Raw genomic sequence first — 27,217 nt, 5'->3', positions numbered from 1 at the left:
ACGATCTCAGCTCACTGCAACCTCTGCCTCCCAAGTGATTCTCATAACTCAGCCTCACGAGTAGCTGGAATTAGGGGCAGGCTACCATGCCCAGTTAATTTTTGTATTTTCAGTGGAGACGGGGATTTCACCAGGTTGGCCTGGTTGGTCTTGAACTCTGGGCCTCAAGTGATCTGCCTAACTTGGCCTCCAAAAGTGCTGGAATTATAGGCATGAGCCAATGCACACTGCCTATACATGGATTTTTGACTGTGCTGGGGTGTCAGCTGTAATTGTTCAAGGGTCATATAATTGAGGAACTGATACCAAATGGGATGAAAAATTTTAGGATTATTCCACAGTTAATGAAGCTCACCCAATGCCACAATGTGTTGTAGGCAGCTAATGAGCTGTTTTTCATCTGTTTCTCTCCCCCGTCTATCTTCACCCTCAATCTTTTCAATCAAGGCACTCTTTTCCAATCTCCAGGCTAATAATGTTCATAGTAATGCACCCCTGGGGGGAAGTGGTGTCTCACTTCCTAGCTATGTGACCCTGAGCAGGTGTCTTAACCTCTCTGGGCTTCCCTCCCACACCTATAAAATGAAGATAATAAAAGCTCCTGTCTCATAGCATGGTGATGAGGATTAAATGAGGTGAAACATGCAAAGCACATGTTAAGCTCTTTATAGTGCTAAAAAATCAACAAAAATTAAATGAAAGAAGCCAAGCATGGTGTTGCACTCCAGTAGTCTCAGTTAGTTGGAGGTGGAGGCAAGAGGATCATTTGAGCCTAGGAGTTTGAGACCAGCCTGGGCAACATAGTGAGACCCCATCTTTTAAAACAAAACAAAAAAACTTAGCGCCGGGTGCAGTGGCTTCCGCCTGTTATCTTCACATTTTAAAAGGCTGAGGTGGGCAGATCACTTCAGGTCAGGAGTTCTAGACCAGCCTGGAAAATACAGTGAAACACCATCTCTACTAAAAAATACAAAAAATTTGCTGGGCATGGTGGTGCATGCCTGTAGCCTACTCAGGAGACTGAGACAAAAGAATCGCTTGAACCCAGAAGGCTGAGGTTGCAGTGAGTCGAAATTGCATCACTGCATTCCAGCCTAAGTAGCAAGCAGAGTGAGGCTTTTCCTCAAAAAGAAAAGAAAATACAAACTTTAAAAAAAGTAAAATAAATAAAAGTGAATTCAATGACATTAAATTAAAATTTTTAAAAATATAATGGGCCGTGCACAGTGGCTCACACCTGTAATTCCAGCACTTTGGGAGACCAAGACTGGCAGATCATTTGAGGTCGGGAGTTTAAGACCAGTCTGAACAACATAGAGAAACCCTGTCTCTACTAAAAATATAAAAAAAAAATAGCTGGATATGGTGGTGTATGCCTGTAGTCCCAGCTACTTGGGAGGCAGAGGCAGGAGAATAGCTTGAACTCAAGAGGTAGAGGTTGCAGTGAGCCGAAATTGCACCACTACATTCCATCCTGAGTGACGGAGTGAGACGCCGTCTCAAAAAATAAAGAAAGAAAAATGAAATGAAATAATGAAATGAGAAATGATGAAATGAAATGAAATAAAAAATAAAATAATAAAACAAAGGAAGCCACAGAGGGGTCATGATATGCCCAGAGTCACCCAGAATATACCAGGCACAGAGGAAAGATTTGAACTCACAGCCACCTGATTCTATCCAGACTTGGCCAAGCATGGTGGCTCATGCATTTAATCCCAGCACTTTGGGAGGCTGAGGTGGAAGGATCATTTGAGGCCAGGAGTTCAAAACCAGCCTGGGCAACATAGCTAGAACCCTTCTCTATAAAAAATAAAAATTAGCACAGCTGGCAGTGCATGTGTGTAGTCTCCACACTTTGGGAGGCTGAGGCATGTGGATCGTTTGAGCCCAGGAATCAGAGGCTGCAATGAGCCAAGATTGTGCCACCACACTCTAGGCTGGGCGACAGAATGAGACGCTGTCTCAAAAATAAATAAATAAATAAACAAACAAATTAATTAATTAAAAATAAATAAATGAATAGAATTAAAAATTAAAAAATGAAATCCAAGCTTGCTCCAGAGGCCCCTCTTTTTGGCTTTCAAGGATGCCCCTTCCTGGGCTCCCACTGACTTGCACTCCTTGCCCCTGCCAAGAGAGTCTGCCTGTTTTCCCTGTGAATCCAGCAGATCTAGTGCAGTCTCTGAATGTTTGTCCATCGGGTCCGCACCCAGCTCCTCATGTGCCTGCCTTCACTTCTCTAAATCCTCCCTGTTGCTCCAGGCTCTGCTCTGGCACTGCCTCCTCAAGATAGACTCCCTGATTGCTCTAGATCACACAGGATGGGGAGGCCGTAGCCCATACTGGGAAAATGAAAGGCTCCAAGTCAAGCCTGCCCACCCACGCCAGGCACAAAGAGGTGCTCAGGAAGGCTGACTGACTGCCCCTGGAGGTGAACCCTCACTTTCATCCTCTCCATCTGTGGCCTGAACTGGCCACCATACCACAAGGCACTTGAGGGGCCTAGGAGGGAGTGGGAATGACTGAGGAAGAAGCATGTATTTCTAATAGTTCATAGACCAAGACAAGGATGCAAGAGACGACAGCTGGATCTACCTCAGGGCTTTTGCATTGGCTGTACCAGTCACCTGGTATGCAGTGCCTGCAAACTCCCTCCCCTTCTGTTTCTTTTCTTTTTGAGAGAGAGTCTTGCCCTGTCACCCAGGCTGGAATGCAGTGGTGTGATCTCAGCTCACTGCACCCTCTACCTCCCGGGTTCAAGCAATTCTTCTGCCTTAGCCTCCCGAGGAGCTGGGACTACAGGCATACGCCACCATGCCCAGTTAATTTCTGTTTTTTTTGTTTGTTTGTTTGTTTTGCTTTTTTTTTTTTTAAGTAGAGACGGGGTTTTGCCATATTGGCCAGGCTGGTCTCAAACTCCTGACCTCAGATGATCCACCCACCTCAGGCTCCCAAAGTGCTGGGATTACAGGTGTGAGCCACCCCACCTGGCTGAGACCTCAGTTACTTCATATAGAATACCTTCACCTTTACCATATAATGTAATCTAAATACAGGAGTGACATTCATGCTAGTTCACAGTGCTACCCACAGCCAAAGGATCTGCCCACCTCCATCTCTGGAAGTACTGGTATTACAGGCAGGAGCCACTGCATCTTGTCCTCCCCTTCCCTTTTTGATCTTTACTCTAATATCACCTGCTGTGGGAAGCCTTCCCCAGCCATCCTCTTTAACACTGCTACCACCTCCCCTACCCTGGATGCTTCAGTTCCCCTTCCTGCTTTGTCTGCCCTCACGGCACAAAATACACATTTTGTCTTATTTATCTTGTTTTGTGTTCATCCCCCACACTCAGCGGTCGGCTCCACCAGTGCAAGGATTGTGCCTGTCCTCTTCCCGGGCTGATCTTCCCCTGTGCCTGGAACAGCACCTGCTATATAAATTATGTGCTGGATACACACACTCGAAAAGCAAGAGATCAGGCTCCCTGAGAAAGTGAGTCCTTGGAAAAGCAAGGGGTCACTGTGGCTGGGGAGAGCAGAGATTGAACGAGGAGGTGGTACTAGGGCCACAGTGTGAGGAATGATGAGGGTCTGATAGGTGGCAATGCAGGGAGAAGGTGTTGTTTGGGGAGGGAACTGCCTGGGCAAAGGTAAGATGGCGGGAAAGCTTGTCTGGGGAGAAATGGGGGAGGTAAGGGCGCCAGGGGCCAGCAGAGAGGAAAAGAGAAGAGGTGGATAGAGGCCAAAGGCTGTAGACTGGAATTAACGGGTGGATCTTCACTCAAGCCCTGGGATACAGAAGCCTGAAGTTAGTGGTTATCAGGCATCTAGGGCCTCACATCTTCTGTCGTCTTAAATTGTGCCGTGAGAATCTTCATGGACGCTGTTCTGCATTTCTCTTTTCCCAAGGCCACCTGGGGAAGGGAGAAAGTGGCGGTAGGGTGAGGGACACCAGTCCTGGGTGGCACAGTCCGCTACTTCCCCTCCTCAAAAGGACCACTTCCTTCTCCCGGAGCAGTCCTGGTCCCTAGAGAAAGACATAGAGCTGCTCCATCTCCTGTCTGCTGTGTGTCCTTTGGCAAGTTACTTGCCCTCTCTGTTTTACTTCCCTCCTCTATAAAATGAGAGAAATGATGCTGTCTTGACCAACTCATGGTCAGTTTTTGGTATGGTCCCTACACAGAGCCTGGCCAAACATGAGCTCAGTAAATGCGCCTCACTGGTATTTCCTGTTATCCAAACAGATCAAGCCTTTTCTGGCCTCTTAGCTTTTCTCTGTGCAGTTATTTCTGCCTAGAATGGTTTCTTTTTCCTACTCTGCTGAACTCCTACTCATCCTTCAAAGTTCCCAGGCAGAGATCTAACTCCCCAAATCAGGTTTCTGCCTACTGCAGCTGGGTCTCTTCCTCTGTCAAGACTGGAAGGTTCTAGTCTGGTTCTGTCTTTTTCAACATTCAGGGGCTCCCTGGAGACTGAACCCAGGGCTGAGGGCTCTCAGCACAGAGGCATATTTACTGGATAGTCAGAGGGAACCCCCTCACAGGTAGGCACCCTCACATTGGTGTGGCCTTTGTGTGAATGACAGCAATTCACCCACAGTGGGTGGAGGTCTGGGGCGATGGCTGCATGCATGTGTGTGATGTGAGCGTGTACATGCATGCACGTCTGTCCACCTGGGCCTGATTTGTACAGGCAGGGAAGTCAGGCAGGAATATCTTGAAGGGACGTGTTTTTTGAGGGTTGTGACTGGGGAGTCCTGTATCTGAAAGGGATTCAGTGAAAGAAAATCTGTATTTGCCTCTTACCAGGGAGTAGGGATTGAGATGTCCTCTACCTACCATCTACCTGCTCATGAATTTTTCAAGTCACCTTTCCACCCATCTACCACTCATGCATTCACCTGGACATCCATCCACCCACCCATTGGTCACGACCCACCCACTCACCCATCCAATTTACGTTCTCATGGTTCTTCATCACCCTTTTATCAGGCTTCAGTCACCATCTATTCATCCACCCACCTATACCAAACACCCACCATCTCCCGCCATTCATCCATCCACTCAACCACCCTCTTACAACCATCCCTCCATCCACCCACCCATCCATCCATCCATCCGTCCACCCAACTGAGAGGTGACAGCGTGCTCGCAGCCCTCGCAGCCCTCGCTCGCTCGCTCTCGGTGCCTCCTCGGCCTTGGCCCCCATTCCGGCCGCGCTTGAGGAGCCCTTCAGCCCGCCGCTGCACCGTGGGAGCCCTTCTCTGGTCTGGCCGAGGCGGGAGCCGGCTCCCTCGGCTTGCGGGGGCGTGGGGTATGGAGGGAGAGGCATGCGCGGGAACCCGGGCTGCGCGCGGCGCTTGCCGGCGAGCTAGAGTTCCGAGTGGACTTGGGCTTGGAGGGCCCGCACTGGGAGCGGCTGGCCCTGCCAGCCCCGGGCAGTGAGGAGCTTAGCACCCAGGCCAGCAACTGCGGAGTGTGCGCCGGCTACCCCAGCAGCGCTGGCCCATCCGCGCTGCGCTTGATTTATCGCCAGGCCTTAGTTGCCTACCCCAGGGCAGGGCTCCACACCTGCAACCCGCCATGCCTGAGTTCCCCCCACTCCCCGCTCCAGCGCGGCCTGAGCCTCCCCAACGAGCGCCGCCCCCTGCTCCAAGGCGCCCAGTCCCATGGACCCATGACTGCCCAAGGGCTGAGGAGTGCGGGCGCAGGGCTCCAGACTGGTAGGCAGCTTCACCTGCGGCCCCAGTGCCAGATCCGCTGGGTGAAGCCAGCTGGGCCCCTGAATCTAGTGGGGACTTGGAGAATCTTTATGCCTAGCTAAGGGATTGTAAATACACTGATCAGCACTCTGTATATAGCTCAAGGTTTGTAAACACACCAATCAGCACCCTGTGTCTAGCTCAGGGTTTGTGGATGCACCAATGGGCACTCTGTATCTAGCTAATCTGCTGGGGACTTGGAGAATCTTTATGTCTAGCTAAGGGATTGTGAATGCACCAATCGGCACTCTGTATCTAGCTCAAGGTTTGCAAATGCACCAATCAGCACTCTGTGTCTAGCTCAGGGTTTGTAAATACACCAATGGACACTGTATCTAGCTAATCTAGCGGGGAGGTGGAGAACTTTTGTGTCTAGCTCAGGGATTGCAAAGGCACCAATCAGCACCCTGTCAAAACGCACCAATCAGCTCTCTGTAAAATAGACCAATCGGCTCTCTGTAAAATGGATCAATCCCAGGATGTGGGTGGGGCCACATAAGAGAATAAAGGCAGGCTGCCTGAGCTAGCAGTGGCAATCCTCTGAGGAGGTCTCCTTGTATACTGGAAGCCTTGCTTTTTGGCTTTCTGAAATAAATTTTGCTGCTGCTCGCTCTTTGGGTCCACCCTGCGTTTAAGAGCTGTAACACTCCCTGTGAAGGTCTGCAGCTTCACTCCTGAAGCCAGCCAGACCGTAAACCCACCAGAAGGAAGAAACTCCTAACACATCAGAACATCAGAAGGAACAAACTCTGGACACACCACCTTTAAGAACTGTAACACTCACCGCAAGGGTCCGTGGCTTGATTCTTGAAGTCAGTGAGACCAAGAACCCACCAATTCCGGACACACAGCCACCCATCCACTTATCCACCCATCCACTCACCTATCTATCCATCCATCCCTCCATCCACACATCCACTCCATCCATCCATCCATGCAACAATCCATCCATCCAACCACCCACCCACCTACACATCCAGTCATCCACCCATCCATCAGCTGATTCATTCCTCCATCCATCTGTTCTCCCATCCATCCATTCACCCATCCAATCATTCACTCATCCATCCATTCACCCGTCCATCCCTAGCCACCCAACTCCCCCCATCCATGGTGTGTACTCATCTACTCACTCATCCACTGTTATAAATAAAGTTTCAGTGCCACAAAAGAAATAACACTCAAATATAAAATTTTCTTTTTTTCTTCTCAGCAGGGCAGTTTACTTCTATAGAAGGGTGCACCCTCACAGATGGACCAATGGTGAGTGCACACCTTGATGGAGAGGGGAAGGGTTTCTTATTCCTGACTCATGTGGCCCCTGCTGCTGTGTCATTCCCCTGTTGGTTAGGGTTAGACTGCACAGGCTAAACAAATTCTGATTGGCTAATTTAAAAAGAGTGCCCGGTGAGTGATTTGGCGTGAAAAATGGTTTTGGCAGGTCAGGAAATTGGAATGAATCAGGGTGGAGAATGGGCAGGTAATCAGAACGATTCAAGGTGGAGCAGGTATTTGGAATGAGTCAGGGTGGAGCAGGTAATGGGAATGAGGCAGGGTGGAGCAGGTAATCGGAAAATGTTGCTTTACAAGGAAGTTAAGTTTAAAAGTAGAAAGCAAAGAACTGAACATACTGACATATTGATTCTTTGAAGAGGAATTTAGAACTAATCCATCCATCCATCTACCCATTCGTCCATTTACCCAACCACCAATCTATCTATTTGCCCACCCATCCATCCACCCTGGCATCCATTCATTTACATCTCCCCTGGTACCCATTCAATCACCGCCTAACTTTTTTTCTTCTAGTGTCAGGAGAATTCAGTCACACCCAAAGCAGGAGGTAATAAGACACCGAAGTGAGGACTTCACAGGCTGCTTGGGAGAAGACAATCATCCGTGGGCTTGGGAAAGGGAGAAATGCCTACTGAGTTTAGGGAATTGCTTGCTGGAAGAAATGATGGTAACTAAGAGGGGCTTGGGTGGGATGTCGGGTGGGATGTTGAGCACCTGCATGGGAGGACACTAGTCTGGCAAGTGGAAGGAGGGTGCATGAACGAGTTTTATGTGTATGTCGGTGTGCCTAGGTAGCTCCTCAGCCTGGCTGGGACCCAATATGGCTTCTCCTTTTTCCACACACAAGAGCTCAGGGATCCTCCATTCTGGCGTCTCTCACCTCCTTCATCCCCTACCTCCTGCAGCTCCAGTGCCCTGAGCTCCCAGCCACAGTGCTCACTGCTGGCTCTGGTTATCCACTACCAGCTGCACCACAAGCAGCTCCAGCTGCTCCACTCTGACACCGAATCAATTCTGAGAGGGCAGCCCCAGGGGGTCAGGGATGAGCCAAGGGAAGAGAGACAGGCTAGGAGTTGACTGCCTGTTGGCCTACTGGCTCTGGTGGGAAGATACCCATGATGTTCCCTATTATTGTCATTTTCTGGAAGGAGCCAGTATCTTCCTCACCTCTCGGCCTTCCCACTTGCTGTGCCTCCCACCAGAAACACTCTTTCTGTACTTCATGTAACTGCCAACCAGCTCTACCTGACTCCTGCTGCAACATCTTCTCCTCCAGGAAGGCTTCCTAGATGCCCCGAGTCTGGGTCAGGTGCCTCCTGTGAGCCTCCTCTCTGCTCTGTGCCCTATGCACCCCCAACTGCACCCCAGCCACACCATGTCAATGTTTGTGTCCACCACCAGCCAGAAGAGCAGGGATGGTGTTATCTTTGTTGCCCAGTGTACCCAGTACACATTAGATGCCCAACACATGTTTCTTAAATGAGTCCTCAAGGTCACCAGCACCAGTGACCTTGAGCAGGACCTGTCCTGGGAAATGCAGACTCTCTGTCAGTATAATATTCAGATAACTTAGACATTGAAGATCCTTGAATTGGGATCCCTACTGTCTGGAGTTGTCTGGCACCGTCCTTGTGGAATTGACTCATCTGTAAAAGGGAGTTAAGGGTACATCAATATCCCGTGTCCATAAATTTAGAGGTGACTGGAGAACTCTCACATAAGCGGCCACCTCACTTCACTGGCTGGATCATGGGGCAGCTCTTTCCCAAGCCCGGCGAGTGCCTGCATGCAAGAAGGCGGGATTCCTTCTGCCAGCAGTTAGCATGGCACCTGCTGTGTAAGCATCTTAAACATGTGCCTAGATGCGGGAGGCCAGATGCGCAAGATGGACACTCGGCTCCTCCTTCGTCCCCGCCTCTCCTCGCTTCCAGGGTAGCAGCCTCAACAAGGGAAACTATTGTTCCAGTGGAGGCTGCGAGGATGTCGGTGATTTACGCGCCGAGCTGTAGCTGCAAAAGGACAAGGGCAAGTGCCGGCCCGACCTAGGTGAGTGCAGCTGGGGTCCCGAGGGTAGCGTCCCAGAGCCGCGGGCTGGGAGGCGCTGTGGATGGCAGCGGGGCGCTGTGAGAGTATCAAGAGGTACTGAGGCTAGACAATGGGAGGGACTTCCCAGTGAGGAGGGAGTGAGAAGTGATAGCTCTGTGCACCCGGAGACGCAAACACGCCCAACCCTGGGGCCACCGGGCCGAGGCTGATGGGAGACAATGGGAGACGGCTTTGATGAGTGGAGAAACACCAGGGTTTTTTGTTTTCTGTTGAATTGGATAAAATGACAGCAACACACGTGGAGTGAATTTAAGGAGCGGAGAGTTTAATAGGCAGCATGAAGGAAGGAGCTTTCTTTTACAGAGACAGAGGGAGGAGGGCTCTATAGCCGAGATAGGAAACCTGGAGTGCCCCGAGATACTAGCCAGTTATATGAGGAGTCGGTGTTTGATATGCTTAGGGTATTGGTTTGACCAGGAATATTGTTCCCATAGTCTTTGAAAAAACTGACCCTTGCACCTTAGCCTTTTAATATGCAAACACAGGGGCCCTGATGTTCTATACACGTGGGGATATGTCGAGGTGGCCATGTTGCCAGGCAAATATGGGGGCAAGGGCAAGAGGAAAACCGTGAGAATCGCCATGTTTGGGTGGACCCAGTTTCTAATGGTGTGCATTTGCATGTCAAAGGTTGCCAGCGGGCTCTTAGCTAGGCTTTCCTGCTAGACAAGAAGCGTTCCTGGAGCTGCTTTAGAAGAGATGAAAGCTTTTCAAGGACCCTTTTTCCCCTCTATCTGCCTGAAATAATTTCCTAATAACTCCTGTAACATTCCTCCTTCTGAACAAGTTAACCCTAACTGCTGTTAGGGTGTTTAGGGCCACCACATTTTCTCACTGCTTTCTGCTGAAAAGGGACGCTGAATGGGGAACAGCAGCTAAGGCTTCTCCGGGGGTTTTAAGGGTCCTTGGAAGAATGGCATATTCATGCGTGGTTTAGTTTGCAGCACCATTGGGAGCTGGATTGCTTTTAGGCAAGAAGAAACAATTTGACTTATAGTATTGTTAGATATGAGCTGTAAATTTCTCTTCAAAAAATCAGTATGTATGTTCAATTCTTTGCTTTCTACTTTTAAACTTAACATCCTTGTAGCACAACGTTTTTCGATTACCTGCTCCACCCTGACTCATTCCGATTACCTGCTCTGCCCTGACTCATTTTCCACCCTGACTCTTTCTGATTTCCTGCTCTGCCATAACCATTTTTCCAGCCAAACCACTCACCCGTACACTATCTTTAAATTAGCCAATTGGAATTAGTTTAGCCTGTGCATCTAACCCTAGCCAATAGGGGAACACAGCAGCAGGGTCCACGTGGATCGGGAATAAGAACCTCCTCTCCTCCCTTGTCCAGGTGTGTGCTCACTATTGCTCCAAATGTAAGGGGGCACCCTTCTATAGAATTACATTGCCTTGCTGAGAATTAAAAAAAAAAAAATTATATTTGAGTGCTGTTTCTTTTGCGGCACAAAACTTTATAACAATTTGGGGGGCTCACCTGTAATTACATTCCTCTCAGGGCCCACCGGTCTCTGGCTTGCTCTTGTGAGTAGGTGCACCCTGCCCGCTTGTGGTGGCCTCAGGGGTAAGAAATCAGGACCCACCCAGTGAGAGAAATAACCCAAGCTGTCAGCAACGCGGAAAGAAATGGGCTAGCAACCTCTTAAAGCATCCTCACGTACTGCGGCGATGACTCTGTGCACAGACCAAGGAAGGAGAGAGGCCGCGGAAGTCAGGTAAAGTACTTCCTTGGTGGTCAGATTCTGGAGGGCTAAACGTGTGTGTGCGTGAATGATCAAAAACAACCCTACTTGCGGTGTTGTTCATGTGGATGGTGACAAGTCCTACTGCTGGATGGCGTCAGTGGGTTTCTCTCCGTGGTTCCGTAGCTACCTCATATGGCTTAGGGCGGATTATGCCATGGGATTTATACCGGCACCCAACATTAAGAGGGGCCTAATTCTCCCTTAAGGGGGCAACGAAAGAGGATAACATGAGTGGGAAGTGTGCAAGGGACCTTCAGAGGGGGAAAGGGAGGAAACAGGTGAACCTTCTGGTACAGGCAAGGCTAGACATCCCTGGTTTGAGGTGGTGAGGCTTTGGGGTCAGGCAAGGTGAGACATCCCTGGTTTGAAGGTTTGAGGCTTTCAGGACAGGCAAGGCAAGCCATCACCTGGTTTGAGTGGTTGAGCCTTCCGAGGCAGGCAAGGCAAGACATCCTTGGTTTGAGGGGTTGAGCCTTCTGGGGCAGGCAAAGTGAGACACCCCTGCTTTGAGGGGTTGAGCCTTCCGCAGATTTCAGGGGGTTGAACCTTACACAAACCTCTGGTGGTAAGAAAAATACTCAAAACTCCCCTTTCCTTTCATCTTGGGGAAAGAAAGAGTAGCTCCACTCCCACTGGTCCCTCCTCTAGAGGAAGGGGAAGGGGAAGGAGAGGAGAGAACAGCAGCATGAGCGGCTGGCAGAGGCAGAGAAAGAGAAACAAAGTCAAAGAGAAAAAGAAGCAGAGAGAGACAGACAAACGGAATCAGAGAGAGAAAGAGAGAGATAGTGGTAAAGAGAAAACAGTGTATCCTATTCCTTTAAAATCCAGGGTAAATTAAAAACCTATAATTAATAATTGAAGGTCTTCTCAGGAACCTTGTAACACTACAATACCACCTTGTTGTCAGTGTAAACAAGGGCATAGCCCAAAAGCACTGAGGCCACTGACAATCCCTAGCCTTCCTAATAAAAATTCTTAACCCAGTAACCTGCGGATGGTCCAAATACCTTCAATCTATTGTGTCCAATGCTTTGCTAATGGAAGAAAGTAGAAAAATAACTTTTAGAGGAAGCCTCATTGTGAGCCCACCTTATCAGGTCAGAACTGTCTTAAATTAAAAAAAAAAAAAAAGGCAAAAATGTAGTCCTTACTGACTCAAGAATCTTAAAGTGTGAGGCCATTCTGCTAGAAAAAGATGATTTAACATTAACCACTGAAAATTCCCTTAACCCCTGTAGGTTTCCTAACAGGGGATCTAAACCTTAATTACCACACAAAGGTTGGACAAGTAGGTTTCTTAACAGGGAATCTAAATCTTAATTACCACACAAAGGTCGGACCATACCTAGGAGGAACTCCCTTCTGGACAGAAGGATAGATGGTTCCTCCCGGGTGATTGAAGGAAAAAGACACAATGGGTTTGAAACTCCTGTAGAAGCAGAGTTAGGAAAATTGCCTTCTAATTGGTCTGCTCAAACGTGCGACCTGTTTGCATTCAGCAAAGCCTTAAAGTACCTACAGAATCAGGAAGGAGCCATCTATACCAGTTCTAAGTTAATGTGGACTGAACAGGTCTTACTAATAGCAAAGAATACTTGAAATCCCAAACGTACAAAGTTTTCAACAAAAGTAAAATTTGCTAAAAGTTAGCAGTGTAACATGCTAACTTAACTTCTAATCTTCTGTCCTTAGACAGTGTAGTCCCCATGTCTGTGGACATGAAGGAGGTTCACTTTGGAAAAGAATGTTTATCGTCTTTGAGAGAAAAAAAAAGGGGGGTAGAATTTATGTAAAACGGAATGCTATATGGTAAGTTATTTTCCTAAAATAACTGGTTGTTTAAATAAAGGGATATTTGCAACAAGTCAGAAAGTTGAGGCATGTGGAAGAATTGTCTGTGAAAGTCATGAAAAAAAGTTGTAAAATGGAATTTATGCAAGAAATGTTGTATAATTTAAAAGTATTAGGCCTCCTGAATGTAAAACTATTGAAGAAACAGTTTATGTGCAAGATGTGTAAGGAAAGTAAAAAGTACCTTTGGTAAAAGGTTTATAAGGAGGCTTAAGAATGTGGATTTTTACCAACATTAAAAGTTAAAAGAAATGTTTTTTTGTAAAGGTTTAAGCAAGTTTTTAAACAGGGAGTAATTTGCTTTTACTGGGTCCACTTTTCCCAGCCTGAGGGTGTGAAGTTTTTCTTTGGGTAGAGTGTTTTTTGGTACTGGGGGTGGAGTTTTCTCCTGAGAGGAATTAGTCGTCCAGTTGAAAGTGCTTTCATACCATGTTCCGTGTATTCCTGTTATGTTATTTATTTTTTATTTTTTTTTTTTTTGAGACAAGAGTCTCACTCTGTCAATCTTGGCTGGAGTGCAATGGCACAATCTCGGCTCACTACAACCTCTGCCTCCTGGGTCCAAGTGATTCTTCTGCCTCAGCATCCCAAGTACCTGGGAATACAGGTGCCCACCACCATGACTGGCTAATTTTTGTGTTTTTAGTAGAGATGGGGTTAGCCAGGCTGGTCTGTAATTCCTGACCTCAGGTGATATTCCTGCATTGGCCTCCCAAAGTGCTGGGATTACAGGCATGAGCCACTGCACCCGGTGGACATCATGCTTTTGTGGTTACTTTTGCTTTGTAATAATTTTTGAAATCATATATTTATAGCCCTCTAACTTTGTTCTTCATTTTCAGTGCTGTTTTTACTAGTCTAGGCCCTTTGTATTTCTCTGTGACTTTTACAATCAACTTACCAATTTCTACAAAAAAGGCTTCTGGAATTTTTTTTTTTTAATTATACTTTAACTTTTAGGGTACATGTGCACATTGTGCAGGTTAGTTACATATGTATACATGCACCATGCTGGTGCGCTGCACCCACTAACTCGTCATCTAGCATTAGGTTGTTGAATTTCGTCAAAGGCCTTTTCTGCATCTATTGAGATAATCATGTGGTTTTTGTCTTTGGCTCTGTTTATATGCTGGATTACCTTTATTGATTTGCGTATATTGAACCAGCCTTGCCTCCCAGGGATGAAGCCCACCTGATCATGGTGGATCAGCTTTTTGATGTGCTGCTGGATTCGTTTTGCCAGTATTTTATTGAGGATTTTTGCATCAATGTTCATCAAGGATATTGGTCTAAAATTCTCTTTTTTTGTTGTGTCTCTGCCTGGCTTTGGTATCAGGATGATGCTGGCCTCATAAAATGAGTTAGGGAGGATTCCCTCTTTTCTATTGATTGGAATAGTTTCAGAAGGAATGGTACCAGTTCTTCCTTGTACCTCTGGTAGAATTTGGCTGTGAATCCATCTGGTCCTGGACTGTTTTTGGTTGGTAAGCTATTGATTATTGCCACAATTTCAGATCCTGTTATTGGTCTATTCAGAGATTCAACTTCTTCCTGGTTTAGTCTTGGGAGAGCGTATGTGTCGAGGAATTTATACATTTCTTCTAGATTTTCTAGTTTATTTGTGTAGAGGTTTCTATAGTATTCTCTGATGGTAGTTTGTATTTCTGTGGGATCGGTGGTGATATCCCCTTTATCATTTTTTATTGCGTCTATTTGATTCTTCTCTCTTTTTTTCTTTCTTAGTCTTGCTAGCGGTCTATCAATTTTGATGATCCTTTCAAAAAACCAGCTCCTGGATGCATTAATTTTTTGAAGGGTTTTTTGTGTCTCTATTTCCTTCAGTTCTGCTCTGATTTTAGATATTTCTTGCCTTCTGCTAGCTTTTGAATGTGTTTGCTCTTGCTTTTCTAGTTCTTTTAATTGTGATGTTAGGGTGTCAATTTTGGATCTTTCCTGCTTTCTCTTGTGGGCATTTAGTGCTATAAATTTCCCTCTGCACACTGCTTTGAATGTGTCCGAGAGATTCTTGTATGTTGTGTGTTTGTTCTCGCTGGTTTCAAAGAATATCTTTTTTCTGCCTTCATTTCGTTATGTACCCAGTAGTCATTCAGGAGCAGGTTGTTCAGTTTCCATGTAGTTGAGCGGTTTAGAGTGAGTTTCTTAATCCCGAGTTCTAGTTTGATTGCACTGTGGTCTGAGAGATAGTTTGTTATAATTTCTGTTCTTTTACATTTGCTGAGGAGAGCTTTACTTCCAAGTATGTGGTCAATTTTGGAATAGGTGTGGTGTGGTGCTCAAAAAAATGTATATTCTGTTGATTTCGGGTGCAGAGTTCTGTAGATGTCTATTAGGTCCACTTGGTGCAGAGCTGAGTTTAATTCCTGGGTATCCTTGTTGACTTTCTGTCTCATTGATCTGTCTAATGTTGACAGTGGGGTGTTAAAGTCTCCCATTATTAATGTGTGGGAGTCTAAGTCTCTTTGTAGGTCACTCAGGACTTGCTTTATGAATCTTGGTGCTCCTGTATTGGGTGCATATATATTTAGGATAGTTAGCTCTTCTTGTTGAATTGATCCCTTTACCATTATGTAATGGCCTTCTTTGTCTCTTTTGATCTTTGTTGGTTTAAAGTCTGTTTTATTAGACTAGGATTGCAACCCCTGCCTTTTTTGTTTTTCATTTTTTTGGTAGATCTTCCTCCATCCTTTTATTTTGAGCCTATGTGTGTCTCTGCACGTGAGATGGGTGTCCTGAATACAGCACACTGATGGGTCTTGACTCTTTATCCAATTTGCCAGTCTGTGTCTTTTAATTGGAGCATTTAGTCCATTTACATTTAAAGTTAATATTGTTATGTGTGAATTTGATCCTGTCATTATGATGTTAGCTGGTTATTTTGCTCGTTAGTTGATGCAGTTTCTTCCTAGTCGCGATGGTCTTTACATTTTGGCATGATTTTGCAGCAGCTGGTACCGGTTGTTCCTTTCCATGTTTAGCGCTTCCTTCAGGAGCTCTTTTAGGGCAGGCCTGGTGGTGACAAAATCTCTCAGCATTTGCTTGTCTGTAAAGTATTTTATTTCTTCTTTGCTTATGAAGCTTAGTTTGGCTGGATATGAAATTCTAGGTTGAAAATTCTTTTCTTTAAGAATGTTGAATATTGGCCCCCACTCTCTTCTGGCTTGTAGGGTTTCTGCTGAGAGATCCGCTGTTAGTCTGATGGCCTTCCCTTTGAGGGTAACCTGACCTTTCTCTCTGGCTGCCCTTAACATTTTTTCCTTCATTTCAACTTTGGTGAATCTGACAATTATGTGTCTTGGAGTTGCTCTTCTTGAGGAGTATCTTCGTGGTGTTCTCTGTATTTCCTGAATCTGAACATTGGTCTGCGTTGCTAGACTGGGGAAGTTCTCCTGGATAATATCCTGCAGCGTGTTTTCCAACTTGGTTCCATTCTCCCCATCACTTTCAGGTACACCAATCAGACGTAGATTTGGTCTTTTCACATAGTCCCATATTTCTTGGAGGCTTTGTTCATTTCTTTTTATTCTTTTTTCTCTAAACTTCCCTTCTCACTTCATTTCATTCATTTCGTCTTCCATCGCTGATACCCTTTCTTCCAGTTGATCGCATTGACTCCTGAGGCTTCTGCATTCTTCACATAGTTTTCGAGCCTTGGTTTTCAGCTCCATCAGCTCCTTTAAGCACTTCTCTGTATTGGTTATTCTAGTTATACATTCTTCTAAATTTTTTTCAAAGTTTTCAACTTCTTTGCCTTTGGTTTGAATGTCCTCCCGTAGCTCAGAGTAATTTGATGGTCTGAAGCCTTCTTCTCTCAGCTCGTCAAAGTCATTCTCCATCCAGCTTTGTTCCGTTGCTGGTGAGGAACTGCGTTCCTTTGGAGGAGGAGAGGCACTCTTCTTTTTAGAGTTTCCAGTTTTTCTGTTCTGTTTTTTCCCCATCTTTGTGGTTTTATCTTCTTTTGGTCTTTGATGATGGTGATGTACAGATGGGTTTTTGGTGTGGATGTCCTTCCTGTTTGTTAGTTTTCCTTCTAACAGACAGGACCCTCAGCTGCAGGTCTGTTGGAGTACCCAGCCGTGTGAGGTGTCAGTGTGCCCCTGCTGGGGGGTGCCTCCCAGTTAGGCTGCTCGGGGGTCAGGGGTCAGGGACCTACTTGAGGAGGCAGTCTTCCCATTCTCAGATCTCCAGCTGCGTACTGGGAGAACCACTGCTCTCTTCAAAGCTGTCAGACAGGGACATTTAAGTCTGCAGAGGTTACTGCTGTCTTTTTGTTTGTCTATGCCCTGTCCCCAGAGGTAGAGCCTACAGAGGCAGGCAGGCCTCCTTGAGCTGTGGTGGGCTCCACCCAGTTCGAGCTTCCCAGCTGCTTAGTTTACCTAATCAAGCCTGGGCAATGGCGGGCGCCCCTCCCCCAGCCTGGCTGCAGCCTTGCAGTTTGATCTCAGACTGCTGTGCTAGCAATCAGCGAGACTCTGTGGGCGTAGGACCCTCCGAGCCAGGTGTGGGATATATCTCGTGGTGCTCCGTTTTTTAAGCCCGTCGGAAAAGCGCAGTATTCGGGTGGGAGTGACCTGATTTTCCAGGTGCTGTCTGTAAGCCCTTTCTTTTACTCGGAAAAGGAACTCCCTGACCCCTTGCGCTTCCCGAGTGAGGCAATGCCTCGCCCTGCTTCGGCTCGCTCAGGGTGCGTGCACCCACTGACCTGTGCCCACTGTCTGGCATTCCCTAGTGAGATGAGCCCGGTACCTCAGATGGAAATGCAGAAATCACTCGTCTTCTGCATCGCTCACGCTGGGAGCTGTAGACTGGAGCTGTTCCTATTTGGCCATCTTGGCTCCTGCGGCTTCTGGAATTTTTAATGCAATTGCATTGAATCTGTAAATCAATTTGGCAGAGAACTGACGCTTTAATTATATTGAATCATTTGACTCATATGAGATATAATTCTCCCTTTTAAATTTTTTCTCAATAGTGTTTTGTTGTTTCTTTCAGGGTTACTTGTCTTTTATCTCTGCTTTTAAGATTTTCTTTTTGTTACTGGTTTTAAGCAATTTGGTTATGATGTGCCTGTGTGTAATTTTCTTCATGTTCCTTATGCTTGAGTTTCATTTAACATTTTGAATCTGTAGGATATAATTTTCATTAAATATAGAAAAAGTTTAGCCTTCATTTCTTCAAATATTTTTTCTTTTCTCTCCAGTGTCAAGGATTCCGGTTATAGTTAGACCATTTGAGGTTGTCACCCAATTCAATGATGTTTTTAAATTTTTATTTTTAATTATTTTTTCCTATTGTATTTTGTGCATTTCTATTGCTGTGTCTTCAGATTTACTATTCTTTCCTACCACAGTGCCTGTTCTACTGTGTGTTAGTTCTCACACTGCTAATAAAAACACACCCGAGACTGGGTAATTTATAAAGGCAAGAAATTTAATTCACTCACAGTTCAATATGGCTGAGGAGTCTTAAGGAAACTTACAAGCATGGTGGAAGGGGAAACAAACACATCCTTCTTCACATGGTGTCAGCAAGAAGTGCTTTTTTACTCCAAAGGGGGAAAGACCCTTAGAAAGCCATCAGATCTCCTGAGAACTCACTATCATGAGAACATGATGGTGTAACTGCCCCCATGATTTAAGTACTTCCTACCAATACTTGAATATTTTTTCTTCCTTCCCAGGACATGTGGGGATTTGGGGAACCACAATTCAAAATAAGATTTGGGTGCAGATACAGCCAAAGCATATCATACTGTTAATTCCATTTGTTGTATTTTTTACTCCAAGCATTGTTGTATTTGTGTCTGGAAGTTTGATTTGGATCTTCCTTGTATTCTTCATGTCTCTTAGCTTTCTGATCGTGGGTATACAGTTTTCTTAGTTGTTTTCATGTCTGTGTCTGCTAGTGATAACACTTGTGAGTCAGTTTTGATTGAATGGTTTTTTCTCCTCATATGGGTCCTGTCTTCTTGCCTCTTTGCATATCTATTAAGTATACTCATAAGTAGAAGGAATGAACAAATTCTTTTGAAACTATAAAGTATAACAATTCAATCAAAATGGAATAGACAAAATGAATAGTCCTATAGCCAGTAAAGAAGCTGAATTAGTAATTGAAAAGCTCTAGGAAGGAAATGTCTAGGTGCAGATATTTTCACTGGAGAATTCCTCAAAACCTTTAAAAAAGACTTACCATCAACTTCACACAGTTGTTTCCAGAAAATAATTGAGAATGGGACACAACCCAATATGAGGTTAGGAATATCTGTATCTCAACACCAGAAAAAAAGTACAATAAAAAAAATACAGCTCAATACCCCTCATGAATGTAGACACAAAAATCTTTTTAAAAATTTGCAAATTGATAACAGCAGTATATGAAGAAGAGTAATACATCACAACCCAGTTCAGGTTACTCCAGGAATGTAAATCTGGTTCAGCATTCTAAAATCAAGCAATGTAATCAAACTTATCAACAGAATAAAGAAAAATCATACATACATACACACATACATACATACAGTCAAATCAGTTGATGCAGGAACACCATTTAACTAAACCCAACACCCATTTATGACAAAAAGTTTGAGCAGGTTCACATAGAGGGGAAATAACCATAGGTTGTTTAAAAAGAATCTACAAAAAACCTGTAGCCAACATCATTCTTAATGGTGTAAGATTGAATGCCTCCTCTGTCACATTGGGGAAAAGGCAAGGATGTTTCCTGTTACTATTTTTATTCAGTTGGCAGTTCTAGACTGTAATGCAAGGGAAGAAAATAAACAACATACATATTAGAAAAGAAATAAAAAGGCCTAGTAGCCTGGCATGCTGGAATGCGCCTGTAGTCCCAGCTACTCAGGGAGGCTGAGGCAGGAGAATCACTTGAACCTGGGAGACGGAGGTTTCAGTGAGCCAAGACTGCACCACCACACTCCAGCCTGGGCATCAGAGGAAGACCCTGTCTTAAAAAAAAAAAGAAAATTAGTAAAATTGTCTCATTTTGCAGGTGTCATAATTGTGTATGTGTTGAAAATCCTAAGGGAGCTATAGAAAACATCCTATAACTAGTAAGTGAGTTCAGCAAAGTGTCAAGTTGTAGGATCAATGCATAAATACTAACCTCATTTTTATTTAACAGTGAACATATGGGCACAGAAATTAAAAATGCAGTACTCTTACAGTCATTCCTATGAAAATGAATCCTTACTTATGCTGAAACTTGGAATTTGTTGATAAAAGTAATCTAAGAATACATAAGTAAATAGACCCACTGTCTATTTGGATTGGAACATCCTACATTCCAGTTTTCTCAAAATTGTTCTGTAGGATGAATACTATTCCTATCAATATCTCAGGTTTTTAAAAGACATAAGTAATCTTATTCTAAAACAAATGTGAAAAGTCACACACAGGCAGTAGAATAGATAAGCCAACTTTGACAAGGAAAGTAAGTGGGAGGAAACACTTCTTGATGTTAAGGAATATTGCATAGCTACATTAATCAACATAGTATGGAAGAATGATAGAGACAAAGGTTAATAAAACATTTTAGAGAACCCAAAATTAGACAAAGGTACGAAAACAACTAAATAGAGAAAAGGTAGCCTTTTCAAATGGGGCTGGGCACTTATGGGTGAGTAAAGATCATGGACTTAATGTGAAATGTAAAACTTTTAGAAAAAAAGAAGAAAATATTTAGAATCTAGGGTTAGGAAAATATTTCTTAGACTTGACACCAAAAGAACAATGTATAAAAAAATTTATACACTGTACCTCATTAAAAGTAAAAATGTTTACTTTGCAAAAAAAAGTGAATACAATGAAACACGAGCTATAGATTGGGAGAAAATATCTGTAAACTGTATAACTGACAAAGATTTTTCATCTATGATATATAAAAACTCATAAAATTTAACAGTAAAAAATTCAAATTAGAAAATGAGCAAAAGACTTAAAGAGACATTTTGGCAAAGATTTACAGATAGAAAATAATCATGAAAATAAATTCAACATTCATTAATCATCAGGAAATGCAAATTAAAACTGAAATATCAGTATGTGTATGTCAGAACAGCTAAAATGAAAGGATGGTGACAGCAGTTGTTGTAAACAATGTTAAGTGGATCACTTGTACATTTCTGGTGGAAATACAAATAATACAGTTATTCTGGAAAATCTCTTGATAGTTTAAAAAAAAAAAGAAAACTGTGTAACTATCCTACTACCCAGTAGTTGCACCCTTGGACCTTTATCACAGATAAATTTATATTGATACAGAAAACCTGTGTCAATTTCATAAAGTCCAGATATACCAAATGAGTAACTAGTCAGAGAAGCAGCTGTGTTTCTACACCATAGCATGCACATGCGCATGTGGTGTTAGGAAAATACAGGTCTCTTTGCCCTTCTGATGCCCTTAGTCTTGAGGTGAAGGAAGAAGCAACAGAAAGTATCCAATTACTGTTTGAAATTACCTAGTTTGTTTATGAGTGCTCTGTACAAAATAAGAGAGAATAAGGACATAAAGAGTAATGGTCTTTTAAGGCCGGAGCATGGTAGCTCATGTGAACCTATAATTCTGGTACTTTAGGAGGCCAAGGTGAGAGGATCACATAAAGCTAGGAATTTGAGACCAGCCTGCACAACATAGCCAAGAATTTAAAGAATTAGCCAGATGCAGTGGCATACATCTGTTGTCCTTAGCTATTCAGGAAGCTGAGGCAGGAGGATTGCTTGGGCCCAGGAGTTCAAGGCTGCATTGAGCCATGGTCACATTACTACACTCCAACCTGGGTAAAAGAACAGGAATCTGCCTCTAAAACTATTATGAATAAATTTCAACAAAATAAGTGCAAAATTTGCATTTTAAAAACTACCAAATATTGCTGAAACATATTAAAGAGACCAAAGTATATGGAAAGACAGTCCATGATCATAGTTCAAATTATATGTTGTTCAAAAGGCCGTGTACCCTAAATTGATCTATAGATTAAGTGTTACCATTCTCAAATCCCAGTTAAAGTCTTTGCAGAAATTGACAAACTGCCTCTAAAATTCATATGGACATTGAAGCGCCCCAGAATAGCCAAAACAGTTTTGAAAAAGATGGGCAAATTTTGAATACTCACACTTCATTTGAAAATTTAATACAGATTTACAGTAATCAAGACTGTAGAGCTAGCATTGAGTTCACAGTGGAGAGTCCATAAATAAAGTCTGAAATTTATGGTTAATTGAATTTTGACAATAATGCCCAGAAAATTGACTGAGGTAGGAGTGTGTTTGGGCGGGTGCTTTTTAGCCCCATGCTATTTGTGAAAATGCATCCATGTTTTGTGTAGTTGTTACCCACCCATTTTGTAATGCCGTATGACTTTTATCCATTTTACTGTTGATGGATATTTGGGTTACATCTAAGTTTTATCTAGTATGAATGATACTTTTGTGTCATATTTGACTATATCTCTTGGTGTACACATCTACCTGTTGCAGGAGCTGCTGTGTTTTGGGTCATGCAGTTCCGCTCTAGTAAACCCTTCACATGATTTTGCCAAATGATATATTAAGTTATACTCCAGTCAGGCAGTGCCTTCACTTGCATTTTCAGCCTTTTTTGCCAACATTTGCATTTTCAGCCTTTTAAACTTAGCATTTATGATAAATATGTAGAAGTGGTTTTAATGCATCTTTCTACAGAGTCTAATAACATTGTGTACTTTTTCATATGCTTTCATATATGCCTTTATTTTTTGTGACAAGCCTGTCAAAATTTCTTGGCATTTTTCTTCTAAGATATCCCTTCTTCTCATCAGTTTTTGGCCTTTATGCATTCTGGATTGGAGTTCTTTGTTAAGTTATATATGCGTTGCAGATATCTTCCTCTTCTTTCCTGCAGGCTGTGTTAAACAGAAATTCTTAAATTTAGTAAAGTCTGCTTTATTAATCTTTTCGTTCAAGATTAGTTTTTTAGGAAAATTTTTGTTGATGATAGTGGTGTTGATTAAGCAATCCTTCACTACCAAAAAGTTATGAAACTATTCTTGTAATGTTTGATGAGCGATGACAATTCAATGAGGAAAGATGATTTTTTTCTTTTAGGCATTTTAGTGTTCTTTCACATTTAGAACTGTAATTCTAAATAGGTTTTGTGTTCATATTGAAGTCAAGATCAGGTATCATCTCCCCTCATTCCCTGACAGTACTCAGTTTTTTCAGCACTATTGATTTAAAGGATGATTATCTCTTTAATGATAATAAGGAGACTACATAAATAGTGTCCATATATATGTGGACCTACTTTTGGACATCTAGTTTTGCATTGGTGTAGCCATCTGTCTTTGTGTAATCCTATCTTTTCTTGACTACTTTAATCTAGTTTTATTAGGTTATAGAGTTAATCTTCACATTTCATCAGAAGACTTTTGCATTTCCTTGTATACATTAGGAGTACCTTGTCAATTCCCACCAAAAAAAAAAAAAGAAGCTAAGATTTTGACTGGGTTTGGATATATAGACAAATTTATGAGCATTTGACCTACTTTCAGTAATGTACATTCTAATTTCTGAACTCAATATATTCTATTTAGGTTTTATTTCTCTCAATATTTTATAGTTTTTTTGTGTAGAGATCTTACACATTTTTGTTAGTTTTATTCTAGTGTTAGTTTTTTTCTTAGCGTTAGAAAGAAACAGCACTATCTGACAACATAGCTTCCTTCAGCTTTAACATTTGAGTTTATTACTTGTTCACTGACAATCCATTTATTTACCATGGATAGTTAAGTCTTTATTAAGTTCAAAAACTATACATAATTCATGACATTGTGTGAAGTATTCTAAATATATTTTTTTCTTTAGGCTAATTTAGCTTTCCCAACTGATAGAACTGTTAGTGATATTGATTAAATGTATGAATAGTGACTTGTAAAAGTTTTAAATGCCGTAAATATCTTTCAGTTTTTCTGTGTCATGAAAGAATATCTCCTTAAATTTGCAGGATTTTTTGTTTGCTTGCTTATTCAGTTGTAGATTTATACTTTAATGTCCATTACGTGTTTGGTTTATGATGTTCTCTGTTCTGTGTTGGACATTGGAGGACCACTGTCGTCACTTTCCTTGGCCATGTAGTCTAATGGGGAGGACATTGTTTTTTATAATGCAGTACCTGCTATGTTATACGTATTGGTTAAGGACTAACAGAGGACACATAAATGGCAGTATTTAACATTTTTTCATACTTGAAATTTTTTCTTTTGAGACAAGGTCTTGCTCTGCTGCCCAGGCTGAAGTACAGTGGCATGAACATGGCTTACTGCAGCTTTGACCTCCCTGGCTGAAGCCATCCTCAACCCTTAGCCTCCCAAGTAGTGGGGACCGTGGGCCTACCACTGCACCCGGCTACTTTTTAAACATTTTGTGGAAGTGGAGTTTTGCCATGTTGCCTGGGCTGGTCTCAAACTCCTGGGCTCAAGTAATCATCCCACGTTGGCCTTCCAAAGTGCTGAGATTACCAGCATGAGCCACCATGCCTGGCTGACATGAAACACTTTTAAAGTCACCACTAAATGCTCACTAATGGTAAAAAAATCTTAGCATTTTAACTAAAATGTGAATTAAAATATCAATTTTTATATACAAATTATAAGTGTTAGTTACTTCAACAATTTTTTTTTTTTTTTTTTTTTTTGAGACAGAGTCTCGCTCTCTTGCCCAGGGTAGAGGGCAATGTTATCTTGGCTCATTGCAACTTCTCCCTTCCGGGTTCAAGTGATTCTCCTGCTTCAGCCCCCCAAGTAGCTGGGATTACTGCCCTGTGCCACCACATCTGGCTAATTTTTGTCTTTTTAGTAGAGACAGTGTTTCACCATGTTGGCCAGGCTGGTCTAGAACTCCTGACCTCAGGTGATCCACCCGCCTTGGTCTCCCAAAGTGCATGAGCTATCATGTCTTGCTGCAAAATTTTAATTGTAACATTATTTTAGTTGTTTCTATAGCTATTTCTTCTTTGGAATGGAATTGTGTTAATTTATAGACCTGCATATAGATAATTAAATCTTTTGTAAAACTCTTTGCAGAATCAATTAATTCTGTCCAACATGGTGTTTTTTAGGACTTCATAAAAAACTGGTATTTTTACTTTTTAAAAAACTTATCTATATATTATTATTGCAAAAATTGAAATTTACAACCATCTACACAAGCAAAAACAATTTTTATTACATTTTTAGTATGCAGCAATGAGAAATATTCTGTAGAAAGAGTATTTTACTTTGACTATAATAGACGCATGAAACCTTTGAAAAAAGAGTCCTCATTTTTTGATGAAGCTGCTTTACAAAGAAAATATATGCACTCCAGTTACGGGGATGATAATCTAGTAGTTTAATTTTCATTCTAAAAGATAAAAGTAGAAATGATCCTATAAAAATTTTATTTGATAATATATTGAATTCATTAATATCTAAATCATGTTTAATTGTTGATATTTAAAAATGCATCTGCTGTGTGATATATTTGCTTAAAAATAATCCTATCAGGACCTATGTATCCGATGTGTGTTTTCATTCAGATTCATAATGATATCTAATTAAATGATTGTTATTAAAATTTGATTGCTATTTTGCATTTGCAGTTTTATTCGTCAATTCAGCAAATAATTATGTATGTACCAGGCACTAATTTTTGCTCAGGATACAAAAGGCAGCAACCTTCAAAGAGTTCATATTCTATTTACTGGTGAAAGTACATACATTGACAGTAATAATCCTAATTGTGTGAGTATTGACTCATGTAAAGAAATGTTTAGGGGTGGCCGGGCATCATATTTCATGCCTGTAATCCCAACAGTTTAGGAGGCTGAGGCAGGCAGATCACCTGAAGTTAAGAGTTTGAGTCCAGCCTGGCCAATATGGGGAAACCCCATCTTTACTAACAATGAAAAAATTAGCTGGATGACGCATGCGTGTAATCCCAGATACTCAGGAGGCTGACACGGGAGAGTCATTTGAACTTGGAGGCAGAGGTTGCAGTGAGCCCAGATCACGCCACTGCACTACAGCCTGGGTGACAGAGTGAGACTCCATCTCAAAAACAAAGAAAAAAAAATAAATGTTTAGCGGTATGTATGAACAGATAGTTTTGCCTACTGAGTAGAGGTGGACTTTACAGAAAAGTTCCTATTTATATGGCCTGAACTTTCAAAACACAAAGATAAAAAAGAGGTAATTGGATAGAAGCCTACTGTGGCCAAGTTAATTTTGTTCTATCATAAGAGTGAACAGACAACCTACAGAATGGGAGAAAACATTTTTTTCAATCTATCCATCTGACAAAGGGTTAATATCCAGAAGCTACCAACAACTTAAACAAATTTACAAGAAACAAACCCATCCAAAAGTGGGTGAATGGTATGAACGGACACGTCACAAAAGATGACATTTATGCAGACAACAAACATGACAAAAAACTCTTCATCACTGGTCGTTAGAGAAAACTGCAAATCAAAACCACAATGAGATACCATCTCACGCCAGTTAGAATGGTGATCATTAAAAAGTCAGAAAACAACAGATGCTGGAGAGGATGTGGAGAAATGGGAACACTTTTCCACTGTTGGTGGGAGTGTAAATTAGTTCAACCATTGTGAAAGACAGTGTGGCTATTCCTCAAGAATCTATAACCAGAAACACCATTTGACCCAGTGGTCCCATTATTGGGTATATACTCAAGGGATTATAAATTATTCTGTTATAAAGGCACATGCATACGTATGTTTATAGCAACATTATTCACAATAGCAAAGACATGGAACCAACTCACATGCCTGTCAGTGATAGACTAGGGAAAGAAAATGTGGTACATATACACTATGGAATACTATGCAGACATAAAAAAGGATGAGTTCATGTCCTCTGCAGGGACATAGATGAAGCTGGAAGCCATCATTCTCAGCAGAGTAACAGAGGAATAGAAAACCAAACACCGCATGGGGAACATCACACACTGGGAATGTTGGGCGGTGGGGGGCTATGGAGGGGATAGCTTTAGAAGAAATACCTAATGTAGATGACCAGTTGATGGGTGCAGCAAACCACCATGTCATGTGTATACCTGTGTAATGAACCTGCACATCTGCACATGGATCCCAGAACTTAAAGTATAATAAAAATAAATAGTAAGTGACATGAAAAAGTTAAAAATTAAAAAAAAAGAAAAACTGTCGGAAATCAGGAAACCTGAGTTCGAGTCACTTTGGTCAATTTCCGGGTGTATGACCTTGCCAAATAGGCGCACGTTTTCATCTTCTCTGAAATGAAGGAAGTATATCAGGTAATATCCAGAGATTCTTTCTGCCCTGCCTTTCTGACTTTATTAAATAAACGAGCAGTTTTATAGGAATCTAAGCATGTTATTATT

General features: G+C 42.7%; 1 long non-coding RNA gene across 8 annotated transcripts in view; it reads left to right on the top strand.

Moving 5' to 3' along the window:
• Positions 1 to 27,217, top strand: part of TTTY14 (testis expressed transcript, Y-linked 14) — a 205,047-nt gene that overhangs the window by 25,277 nt on the left and 152,553 nt on the right. Inside the window, exons 3-4 of one of the 8 annotated variants that reach the window (NR_158641.1) lie at positions 6,980 to 7,029; positions 7,576 to 7,729. The exons of the other annotated variants lie outside the window; for them this stretch is intronic. This is a non-coding gene — a long non-coding RNA (testis expressed transcript, Y-linked 14). The remainder of the gene's footprint in view (positions 1 to 6,979; positions 7,030 to 7,575; positions 7,730 to 27,217) is intronic. 8 annotated transcript variants of the gene reach the window in all.

Source organism: Homo sapiens, chromosome Y (assembly GCF_000001405.40).
Source record: "Homo sapiens chromosome Y, GRCh38.p14 Primary Assembly".
Classification (NCBI taxonomy): domain Eukaryota; kingdom Metazoa; phylum Chordata; class Mammalia; order Primates; family Hominidae; genus Homo; species Homo sapiens.
Note: the sequence above shows the minus strand (reverse complement) of the source record. Positions and strands in the feature narration are given on the sequence as shown.